The sequence below is a fragment of the Homo sapiens genome, chromosome 2 (assembly GCF_000001405.40).
Source record: "Homo sapiens chromosome 2, GRCh38.p14 Primary Assembly".
In the NCBI taxonomy this organism is placed as follows: domain Eukaryota; kingdom Metazoa; phylum Chordata; class Mammalia; order Primates; family Hominidae; genus Homo; species Homo sapiens.
Window position 1 is genome coordinate 209764611 of NC_000002.12, and position 12329 is coordinate 209776939.

At 38.2% G+C, this 12329-nt stretch overlaps 1 protein-coding gene across 3 annotated transcripts in view, besides 1 other annotated feature; it reads left to right on the plus strand.

Annotated features, from left to right (window-relative positions):
• Nucleotides 7222-12329, plus strand: part of UNC80 (unc-80 subunit of NALCN channel complex) — a 227465-nt gene continuing 222357 nt past the window's right edge. For all 3 annotated transcript variants that reach the window (NM_032504.2, NM_001371986.1, NM_182587.4), the window contains exons 1-3: nucleotides 7222-7554; nucleotides 8484-8532; nucleotides 11279-11435. In NM_032504.2, the coding sequence (NP_115893.1) occupies nucleotides 7463-7554; nucleotides 8484-8532; nucleotides 11279-11435 (298 nt within the window). In that variant the 5' untranslated portion in view covers nucleotides 7222-7462. The remainder of the gene's footprint in view (nucleotides 7555-8483; nucleotides 8533-11278; nucleotides 11436-12329) is intronic.
• Nucleotides 8781-9282: an enhancer, noted in NCBI's record as "NANOG hESC enhancer chr2:210638115-210638616 (GRCh37/hg19 assembly coordinates)". NCBI's record gives its function as "activates a minimal SCP1, AML or CMV promoter by ChIP-STARR-seq in naive H9 embryonic stem cells {active_cell/tissue: H9 hESC(naive)}" and the evidence as "EXISTENCE:reporter gene assay evidence [ECO:0000049][PMID:30033119]".

Consider the following 12329-nt stretch of genomic DNA (forward strand, 5'->3'; position numbering starts at 1 on the left):
TTCTCTTTTTGTGTGTGCATGTGATAAGTCCTTCAGGGGCTACTTAGAGAATTGTTAGATTGAAGTATGCACATGTTTCAATTTTACTAGATATTTTAAAATTTGTTTCTAAATGATTTTATAAAGTAAATCCTTACTGGCACTTCTACAAATTCTTAACAAAGCTCGGTATTATGAGTCTTTTAAAAAAACTCGTTTAATTTTGTGTAATTGGAAAATAGTGAAATTGTTGGTTTTAATTCCCTTTCCCAGATTATTTATGAGATTGAACACGTTGATTATTATTGAGGCTACTGATGAGATATGAGCATGTTATCATTTCTCATTTTTTTCACTTTTTGTCTTTGATTTTTGCTTTTGCAATAATTCTTGATATATTCTGGGTCCTAGATCTCTGTTGATTGAATGTATTGCAAATATCTTTTCCCAGTATAGAATATCTACTTTCATTTATTAGGGGTCTTTCACTGTAGAGACTACTTAATATTTTAAAAGATCTATATTTTCTTATGTAGCTTTAACTTTTTTATCTTTTACAAGAAAAACTCAAATAATTTATAAGAAACCAGGAGTTTAAACAATCTGTTTATCTTTAAAAATTAAGTTTTACTTTTCAAATTTAGGTCTCTAACTCATGTTAAACTTATTATTTGGTACTGTTTCACATAGAAATCTTGTTTTTTTTCTCAATAGATACAACACATCCCACTGTGTCATGTGATTTTCTTAGATTTCATTGTTGGACATTTTATTCTTTTCTACTCGTTAATTTTCTATTCCATGTTATTATCACATTGTCTTAATTACCATACAGCATTATAATTCATCAACTAGTTTCTTCTTTTTCAAACCTATCTTAGCCATTTTTGATTCTGTACTTTTCTATCTGAATTTTAAGAACAGCTTTTTAAGGTTGCATTAAAAATCACAAAAAAAATTAGATTTAAAGAATATCAAAATATGTCTTTACTAAAATGACTCTTCCTCATTTTTGCAAGTCTTTATACCTTTAAACAATTTATTATGTTTTTTTCCACAAAGGTATTAAATAATTTTTGTTAGACTTATTCCTGGTTACCTTATAGACTATTATGCTATTCTCTAGGCTTAACATAGCAAACTTTAAAACAAATAAATATGATATATTCAGAGAATGATGAATTTTATGAAGTAAAACACAGAAGAATGTAATAGAACATTTCTGGAACACGATAGGGTGGACTATTAAGAAAATGTGGCACATATACACCATGGAATACTATGCAGCCATAAAAAATGATAAGTTCATGTCCTTTGTAGGGACATGGATGAAGCTGGAAACCATCATTCTCAGCAAACTATTGCAAGGACATAAAACCAAACACTGCATGTTCTCACTCATAGGTGGGAATTGAACAATGAGAACACACGGAAACAGGAAGGGGAACATCGCACACCAGGGCCTGTTGTGAGGTGGGGGGAGCGGGGAGGAATAGCATTAGGAGATATACCTAATGTTAACGAGTTACTGGGTGCAGCACACCAACATGGCACATGTATACATATGTAACTAACCTGCACGTTGTGCACATGTACCCTAAAACTTAAAGTATAATAAAAAAAAGAAAAAAAAAGAAATAGCCTCATATGAGGTGAAGAGTTATAATTAGGCTGGTGCCAAGCCACATGAAGATATGAAAGAAAAAATGCAATACAATGTCCTCAAGAAGCCAATTTGTATAGAGTAAAATGGAGCAGAAAGAGATGTATGAAATGATGTCAGAGCATGGAGAGCCTTATCAGCTAGTGTAAAGCGTTTACATGAGTATAGGCCATGGAGGCCATGGGCTTTGGAGCTTTATTCTGGCACTGAGATATCACTGAGACTGTCCTCTTCGGACAGATCAGCTATTTGGGCTAAGGATGAACAAGACACATGGGATGTATCCACCTCTGCATAGTGGGAGTGACCCCAAGGTAAGTGTCCCCTTTGTAATCATGCTTCACCTTCAACTTCTAATGGGTTGCCATAGAGTAATCATCATACACTCCTGACTGATGCATGATATAGCAATCATGCTTCACCTTCAACTTCTAATGGGTTGCCATAGAGTAATGGTAATGGTAGGCTTTTTTCAAAAACTGCTTTTATTAACTACTATGACTGTTTATATTATTAGTAGCTTTCATGTACTTACAAAACATTCCAGATTCTGCTTACTATAGCAATATTTTCCAAAACCCAGCCAGAGTTCTCCTCTGCTCAGCCTATCTGCCAAGAGTATTTTTATACACATCTGGCAACTTGGAATCTGGTCACTATGAAAGTGTGCCCTTCCGTTAAAAAAAGAAGATAACCTTGAGGGCTGACATACCTTTAGCTACATCTGTCTAGATCTTACAGTTTCCTTTCACATGCTTCCTAAGTTCCAGTAACCAGTTTTCTCTCCTGGCTCAAGGCCACTACATCATTGGGCACCATCACTGGGAAAGGTTCACATCCAACCCAATGTCTTGCACAGTGAGATGGTAATAACATGCAGTGATTACCATAGAGCTGGTTCATTGACTGTGGTGGTGTAATTTACCAGACCAATTCAGTTCTTAACTTTCCTCCAATAGTGCTTACCTGAATTCAAAATGAGACTTATGACAGAAGGCAATGTAGATAAAGCATTTAGATAGGACATGTTTTTGTTTCACACGTAAAATATTTGGGGGTTTTCAGTGGGTACATGAGAAGTAAACCACAATGGTAATATTGATTCTCCACTGAAAAGTTATTTTAAAAACTGATATTGACAATGCTTATTATTATAGATTTCCCCACAAGACTCACTGCCTCAAGGGAATTTGGGAATGGAAAGGGACATTAGCTCTTTTTTATTTTTTACCATCAATGGAGCGATTCTTTTCTGTCCTTGAGCAGTTTTCATTCACATGACTTACAGCACTTCTTCCAAACCCTCACAACTAACAATAGTCAGTATTACAGTAGAAAGTAGGAAGAGAACTTTGAAGTCAGGCTTCCCAGTTTCCTTCATTTATTGTATAACCTCAAGCAGGTTATATAACCTTGCTATGTGTCAGTTTTCTCCTCTTTAAATATTGTTTTAATCGACTGATGTGCTTAAAACAGACCTTGACATATAACAAGTACTCAATGTAAATTATCTGTACATTATCTATTAATATTTTTCTGAAAAATGCCATACTCCTCTGCCTTCAAATCTCACTCTTAGAAAATTACCTTGTCAATTCCTTCACAGTTTATGTAGGACATTAAGCCTGAACTCTTCTATTCTCATCCTTCCCCTTTTCCTGCTAATTTAGCCTCTACCATTATTACTTTTTAATTTCCCATTGTAGGAATTATTCCTCCAGCCAAGGATGATCGGTCCAACTATACATAAAACATAGTCTCTTTCGGAGTCTTGTTTGTTAATTATTCCCCTCTCTGAATTATTCTTAGCATTCCTTTTCTTAATGACCCTCAATTTCTGGCCCATAAATATGTCCAAGTCTCTTATCTTAAAAAAATATGTGTTAGAGCCATTTGGAAGATATTTTGGCATTTTTTACAAAGCTAATCATAGTCTTAGTATACAATTCAGATATTATGCTACTAGGTGTTTAACCAAATGAGTTGAAAACTCACATTCACACAAAAACCTGCGCATGAATGCTTGTAGCAGATTTATTCATAATTGCCAAAAATTGGAAGCAACTGAGATGTCCTTCAATAGGTGAATGGATAAATAAATGGTGACATATACACATAATGAAATATTATTCAGCAATAAAAATAAATGAGCTATTAAGCTACCAAAAAACATAGAGGAAACTGAAATGCATGTTGCTAAGTGAAGAAGCCTGTCTGAGAAAGCTACATCCAATTGATTCCAATTATATGATATTCTGGAAATGGCAGAATATTGAGATAATAAAAAGATCAGTGGTGGCCAGAAACAGGGAGAGAGGGGGAAAGGGGTGACTTGATGGAGCACAGGAGACTTTTAGGGCAGTGAAACTATGATACCTTCATGATGGATTACATTATTTGGCAAAATTTATAGAATTATATATTACAAAGAGTCAACTCTAACATAAACTATGGACTTTATAATAATAGTGCATCAATATTGCTCAATATGAGCAATATATTGAGCAATATTGCTCAATATAACTCAATAATGATGTTAATAATAATGCATCAATATTGCTCATTAATAATAACAAGCATACTACACCAATGCAAAAATGTTAATAACAGAACAAACTATGGGCTAGAGGAAAGAGAGTGTTTATATACTGCAAACTTAAAGCTGCCCTAAGAAATAAAGTCTATTAATAATAATTTTTAAAAACTCAAGAAGATTCATATATATCATTTCACAGCAGCACCTAGATTAGTATTTGCTTGAGTAATTGGAGGAAGGTGTGTGCATATAACAGGACATGGGAATCTTGGGGGCCGTCTTAGAATTCAGCCTATCCCACTATCTTATTCTATCCTGTCACCCATCAACAGCATTTTTTGTGACAATAAAGTTGATGTCCCCTACACTTCCAAAATGGGGCCTTTCTTTTCTCTTTCCATTTATTTGTCTGGATTATCTACTTCCAAGGTTTCAACTACTTTTTATACAGTGTTAACTACAAAATCAATCTCTTCTACCCAATTAACTCTTCTAAACTGCACACAAATATTTCTAGCTACCTCCATTTCATATTTCCAAAAAAGACTCAAGGAAAACTCATGAATGCCATCGTACGCGCACATAAAATAAGAACACGATTCTTTTTGTCAACTCCTTTTCTTTGAATGAGATCACCACTTACTCAGTTGCCCAAAACAGAAAACTTGGAGCTTTTGCTGACATTTATTGAAAGCTTAGTATAGATCTGAGACTCCCTTAAATTCTTTTTTTAAATTTTTATTTTAAGTTCAGGGGTGCATGTGCAGGTTTGTTACATAGGTAAACTTGTATCATGGGGGTTTGTTGTATGGATTTATGTATGTCATCCCTCAGGTATTAAGCCTAGTACCCATTAGTTATTTTTCCTGATCCTCTCCCTACTCCCAGCCTCCACCCTTTGAAAGACACCAGTGTGTGTTGTTCCCTTGTATGTGTCCATGTGTCCTCTTCATTTACAAGTATTAACATTCAATCCTCACAACATCTCTATAGGGGAAGGTATTCTTTGAAAATCTTAGCAGTTTTTTCACTTTTCTAGGATATTATATTTAGTTAATGGTAGGGCTAGAGCCAAAACTGTCTGGCTCAAGACCTAAGCTCTTAACCAATGTGCTATTTTTCTTTTCCCATACCCACTTGGTCATCATATCCTATTAATTCTACCTCTGCAATATTATTCAAACTCACCCCCTTGTCTGTAGTTCTGCTATTATGATCAGGGTTCAGGATCTCATAAAACATTTCTCTAATCTTCATACTGGGGTTCCTAATACAACTTTTGCCTGTTTCAAATAATCCCTACATTCCTGTCATGTCATTCACACTTAAATGGATATGAAGTTTCTACTTCTCTGCTTAAAGGCCTTCTAGGAAAACTTTCTAGCCTGTCATACAAAGTCTCCATCTGATTCCTACACATAATTTCTGCCTTGACCTTTTGTTCATAACTGAATCTGCATTCGTATCTCCCATGATTCTTTTCTCTTTTCATGTCTGTCTTCTCTTAATATTCAGACTTCCTTGTGAGCAAGAGTCCATATAGCTCCATAGAGCTATGAGTATATAAAATACACTCAATAAATATGCCTTGAGTAAACTGTACTTAGAATCTTTCTTTGTTTCAAGATCCATATTTGAGATCATAAGATCCATATTTTTGAGATTCATAATAAAAGATAACTTCAAGAAAGTAAATGAAGAATTTATTTCTATGGCAAAAAATATTGATATATACTATGCTGTTAATTATATATGAAATATTACATCTGTTGAGATTAGGACCTGGAGTCTGATTCTTCATTTCATGGATTACACCAATATCTTTGCTCTAAAAGATGAGGCCAGGCATGGTGGCTCATGCCTGTAATCCCAGAACTTTGAGAAGCCAAGGTGAAAGGATTGCTTGAGCCCAGGAGTTTGAGACTAGCCTGGGAAACATAGTGTGACCCCCATCTCTACAAAAATAAAAAATTAGCTGGGAGTAGTGGTGCACACCTGTAGTCCCAACTGTTGGGGAGACTGAGCTGAGAGGATCTCTTGAGCCTGGGAGGTCAAGGCTGCAGTGAGTCGTGATCACACGTCTGCACTCCAGCCTGGTTGAAGAGCGAGATTCCGTCAAAGAACAAGAAAGAAGAAAGAAGGAGAAGGAGGAGAAGAGGAGGAGGAGGAGAAGGGGGAGGAGGAGGAGGAAGAAGGAGAAGGAGGAGGGGGAGGAGGAGGAATTGCAGGTAGTTACTATTCCGATTGCTTCACCCCACCTCACCCCCCTCCCCGGCCTACTTGTTTTACTCCTAGATAATATATCTAACAGCAATCCAACTATAAAATATTAATATATGTAACATATAAGCATTTGACTATTACAACTGAAGGAAAATGGTAGCTATCACTGGGGGCGAACAGGATCACCCAAGTGCATTTAATGGACTGTAATAAACCACATTTCCTCACAGCATGATTCAAATGTTCTTCCTCAATTTGCAATTAACTGATATCCACAACTGGTTACTTTGGGAACTTTGTATTCCTGCTTTAGGAAAACAAACAAGGTTTATTTCTTGTGGTTATCATATAAAAATAACTTCTCATATCTAAGATCTTTCAAGCTTCCTCTCACTTGCCAACCTTGCCTCACCTTCCTGGTTTACACTTCTAATAATTTTCATGTGTTCCTCCGGCTAACCCCTGGACTCCTGATCTCCTTGCTGGAGGTGAGAATGATGCCAGGGTTAGCGACTGCTCTGCGGTTCCCCAAAGCTCCTCCTACCCAGACGGCGACAGTTTGGATGCTGAGGTTGGAAAGCAGGACAGGGGACACTCCTGAGTGCAGCTCGGAGCGGGGAAAGCCGAATTCCGGGGGCTGAAGAGGCCGCGCAGGGGACGAGCGCCTGCGATGCGGAGCGTGGACTTCTTGGGCCGTACCCCTGCGGCTCAAGCTGCCCCGGATTCGCTTCTCCGGCCGTGCAGCCCGGCGCGGGCCGCTGTCCACAGTGGGAGGTGCTGAAAGCAGGGAGCGGGTGCGGGGGCGGCGAGGCGGACCGCTGCTCCGAGCGCCCCCCTCCTCGCTCCGCGGCTCCTCCAGCCCTCCCCTCCTCCCGCAGCCATGTTCCACGCGCGGGGAGGGGTGGGGGGAGGGGAGAGGCACGGGGGATCAGGGCGGAGAGAGCCGGCTCTGCCTCGGGGAAGGAGGGGATGAGAGTTGGGAGCAGCGGGAGGAGGCGGCGGCGGCGGCTAGCGAGGAGACAGAGCTGGGTCCTGCAGTAGGACTCCCGGGAGCCACCATTATGGTGAAGAGGAAGAGCTCCGAGGGCCAGGAGCAGGACGGCGGCCGCGGCATCCCCCTGCCCATCCAGACCTTCCTGTGGCGGCAAACCAGGTGAGGGGCGCAGAGGGCGCACCGCGGGCCGCCCTGGGCTGGGGGCGCTCCTGGGGCCGCCCGGGTCGCCGCTGCCGCCGCCGCCGCTGAGGCCGCGCCACAGCCTGCAGCTCCCTCTCTGGGGCTGGAAAACAAGCCCTCTGCACCAGCTTAAAAACACGCATTAAAATATGTATATATATGTATATATTTCAGTGAAGTTTGACGACAAGCAGATTGGCAGTTGTCGCATAAATGTATACATTATTTTAGGGGGTGGGAGGGCAGAGAGCCTGGGAAGAGGGGGCGGGGAGCTAGATAATTATGACTGGTTGTGCTCCTGCGTCCAATTCCCCCTCCATCTCCTGCTGTAATTCTAGCCCAGTGACCTGTTGTTTTTCCAGCTCCTGTTTGGCGAATATCTGCTATGCCCACTTGTTAACCGTTTTGCTCAGATTAATCTCCCCAGTTAAATCTCCTGAGGATTTGTGATAAGGGACCTTCCCCCACAACCCCGGAAAGGCCTGACACCTATTCCAATAAACAGAAAAGGTTTTCTTTATTATTGTTATTTTAGAGATTTATCAGATAAGATATTAGATTCTGGAAATTATGACCCATAAGCCGTGTTCAATTTTCAGTTTTTATTATGACTGTACACGTAAGTAATGCACCACTTCTGACCACTGGCGATTTAAAATCTTAGAAGTCTTCAGATTAAGAGTGGATACCGAAAACCATCGAGATCCACTTCTCTTTCATATATGCAATTACACGTGTAAAAGAAAATGTCATCAGCTGTTCAACACCTGCTCATTAAAAAGCTATAAGGAAGCATGAAATTTGAATTTCATAGCATCCTGTCTTATTCATTGAAAAATACGTCACAAGGATGCTTTAATAATAATTTTACTTATGTTTATTAACAAATATCTCTATTAATTTTTCAGTGCATTTTTGAGGCCCAAACTGGGGAAGCAATATGAAGCTTCTTGTGTGGTATGTGATTTTCACCATTTAATAATTATTTCCCTATTCTGTGTGGTGGTTTGAACCCAAAGACAGATTTTAAATCAAACGGACTATATATATTAATTCACTTGGCAAATATTATTGATCACCCACTCTGTGCCAGGCACAATTCTCTGTGCTGGAATAGAACAATGATAAAAACAAATACAGTGTTTACATCCTAGTAGAAAGGGGACAAGCCACAAACAAATAAGTAAATACATAGTAAGCCAGATGGTGGTAAGCACTATGGAGAAAAATTAAGCAAAAAGAAATACTAGGAAGCACTAGGGAGGGGAGTTTTATAAGAATGGATAGATAAGGCTTATCTACCCATTAATGTGAACCTTGGCCAAAGACACAAGGGGAAGGGAGGGAAGGACAGCTGAGGGAAGAGCAGAGGAAACATGTTAAAGGAAATTAGCACCTACTGGGGAATAAGTGAAAGGGTGGGGCGGGATCGAGTGGTAGAAGAGAAGGCAGAGAGATAACAGGGAACCAGGTGGTGTAGGGTGTTTTTGCCACCTGCAAGTGTGAAGTCGAATCCTTAATCAACAAAACTGAGACTTATAGTGGAAGTTCATATGATGGAGTGCCTGTGAAAGAACTACTTGAACAAAATATATGCATTTCTGCACTTTTATGTCTTGCATATGTTCTCCAATTCTAAAAATGAATAATATAAAATAATTGTGAAAATAATACTGTTAATATTTATACAAAATAAAATGCATTTGTCCTGAGATTCTAAGGGAATCTTATATCCCTACAAATTCTTGTTTCACAAATTGAGAAAATAAGACATGAAATCATGAAGCAAAATTGAAATGGACTTTTCACAGCCTTCATTAATATTTGGAGCTTACCTAAAAGTCTTTACATTGCATATATTATAACCTAAAAATGGAAATCTACCAATTTGGATATTGCCATGCATATTTACAAATAGCTATGTGGATGACCTTGTGGTAAGGAGCTCTGAGATGTGTTAGGGCAAAAAATTCTGATGGAAGCCAACTGGAAAGTTAAACACATACATGCCCACTCACGTAGGAATTTGTTTTGTTGCATCTCCTATCTTTCAATGTTGTCACAAACACATTTTTTAAAATATAACTTTCTTATAAGGACCTTTTAATGGAATTTGTCATTGAATTTAGCTTGTTAGAGTAATTTGACACTTGAAATCTCAGACTTTCTTAACCATGCTGACAATTATACTAGCTTAAAATAATCCTGACTTTCTCTGTTCTTGGCGAAGATATTTTTGGCATTTTTAATGCAGTCACACAATATCAAAAAGTTACGTTAATAGATAGGGATAGATATATATATATCTCAATATAGAAAACAATTTCCCAAGTTTTAAAAAAATTATTAAAAGTTGTATTAGTGACACTTAATGAGAAAATGACATTACCCGGAATACTCTGAGATTATGAAATGCATAACTCATCCTCTACAATATATTCATTAGAGTGTATAAATTCTTTATAATCTTTTAGTGTCTAATATATGCATCCTTTACTTAATGAATACTTAGATATCTGAGGGCTGATGATTTTATAATATTTGTATTTATATCACCAACATATCTAAAGGCCTTTATCTAGTTTCTTAAAGCAAAATACTACATCTCTCATTATGCTCTTTACCAAAACCTCAGTGTGCCCTTCATTATAAAGGTGAATTTCTTATTTTTCTTTTTTTGAATCAAAAAGTAAAAAGTTTTCTTTGGATATCTCTGTAGTAAGCCATATTAGGATACCTGTCTTTCTCACATTATTGGTATCCTAATAATTCCAATAATACAGTTTGAACACTTGGGACTTGTTTATGATTATTATATAGAACATTTATACAATTTTATTGACTGGGGCATCAAGTACCAATCCTGTTCTTACATGCCAAATGTTTATTAAATTTATTCCAATATTTCGTAACTACATTTTCTCCAACACCTTACAGTGATATTCTCTCCTCCCTCAAAAGAAAAAACAATAATTAAGTAGGTCAGAGTTGTTACTTGTTCCGGAGTGCTACACTCTCTGATACTCTCTGAGTATCCCTGGCAAGGATAGAAAATTTAATAACCAGCAAAGTAAAGATGGCTTATTTTCCTCCTCCCTCCCTCCTTCCTGCTCTCCCTTCCTTTCTTTCTTTATTCCACAGATATATTAAGTATCTTTTATTGTTCCAGGCATTAGGTAGAGAGTGTTCTGTGCCGGGTCATTGCTAAGCCATGAGATAAATCAGGGATTCCAAAGTTGTATCTTAACACCAGTTGAAGAAACTGACATAAATTCTATTTCTCAAGACACTTTCACAAAAAACTTATTTTGGTCTGCAGTTGTGACAGTCTTTTGGATGACTCGGCAACATTTTATAAAATATACATCCAAAAATCTCATGAGGTTAAATGTTTTGTTCCTATTTGTTAGAGGAAGCTTATTTTAACAGAAATAAAAATCGTTTTGTTAATTCAAGCCATTTACTTTGGCTCAAAAGCCTGCAAATGGGTAGATAATAGAAAATTATTACTGACCCATTGCACATCAACATATACAAGAAAATGCAATGAGTTCTCCCTAAAGAATTTGGTCCAGTAATTTGCATCTTTTAAGGGGTACAGTACCTTGCTGTTCATTTTTTCACTAACCAGAATCTTCAATTTCTTAGTTTACGTGGTTTTGGATTTTGGCTTTTCTTATTGTTTTTGTTTTTGTATTTACAGTCCTTTGAGCGAGTGTTGGTAGAAAACAAGCTGCATGGCCTCTCTCCAGCTCTCTCTGAAGCCATCCAGAGCATTTCCAGATGGGAACTGGTGCAAGCTGCTTTGCCTCATGTCCTCCACTGCACTGCAACCCTGCTTTCAAACCGAAACAAGCTAGGTTGGTGCCCCGCATTACTTCTTTATTGCATGTGATTGCCCTTTGTGTTCAACACTCATCATAATAACCTGTACTGAGTAGTTTCTGTTTTCTCAAGCACTGTGCATATATTATCTCATTTAATTATCACAAAATCCTCCTCACACTTATACTCATTATTTTCATTTTACCGATAAAGAAACTGGCTGTCTTGTTTTTAATTTTTTAATTTTACAAGTAATATATGAATATATTCTCCTTTTAACATTAAGATAGGCTGGGTGTGGTGGCTCATGCCTGTAATCCCACCACTTTGGGAGGCCGAGGCAGGCTGATCACCTGAGGTCGGGAGTTCGAGACCAGACTAGCCAACATGGTGAAACCCCGTTTCTACTAAAAATACAAAATTACCTGAGCATGGTGGTGCACACCTGTAATCCCAGCTACTCGAGAGGCTGAGGCAGGAGAATCACTTGAACCTGGGAGGCGGAGGTTACAGTTAGCTGGGATCGCACCACTGCATTCCAGCCTAGGTGACAAAGTGAGACTCCGTCTCAAAAACAAACAAACAAAAACAACACAAAAAAATTAAAATATTAGAGGCAAGCTAAGACCTTCACCTGCCCAAGATGAGTCCTAGCCAAGGTCATCCTTTTTGTTCTCTCAGTTCCTAAAGCAACCACTCTCATGAACTGGGCATATTTGCCTCAGACATTTTCCAGCTTTGTAGTACTGTGTATGAGTATGTGTGCACATGTGCATAAGAACTATTTTTTAGAATATTTTACAGATTGCTTTTTTCATCTGGCAATGTGTCCTACCCATGTACCCCACGTTAGCGTACATACTCTTCTCCATCCCATTTCCTCCCCTTGTTTGAGCCTCTGCTCAAATATCACTCCTATAGAGGGACCT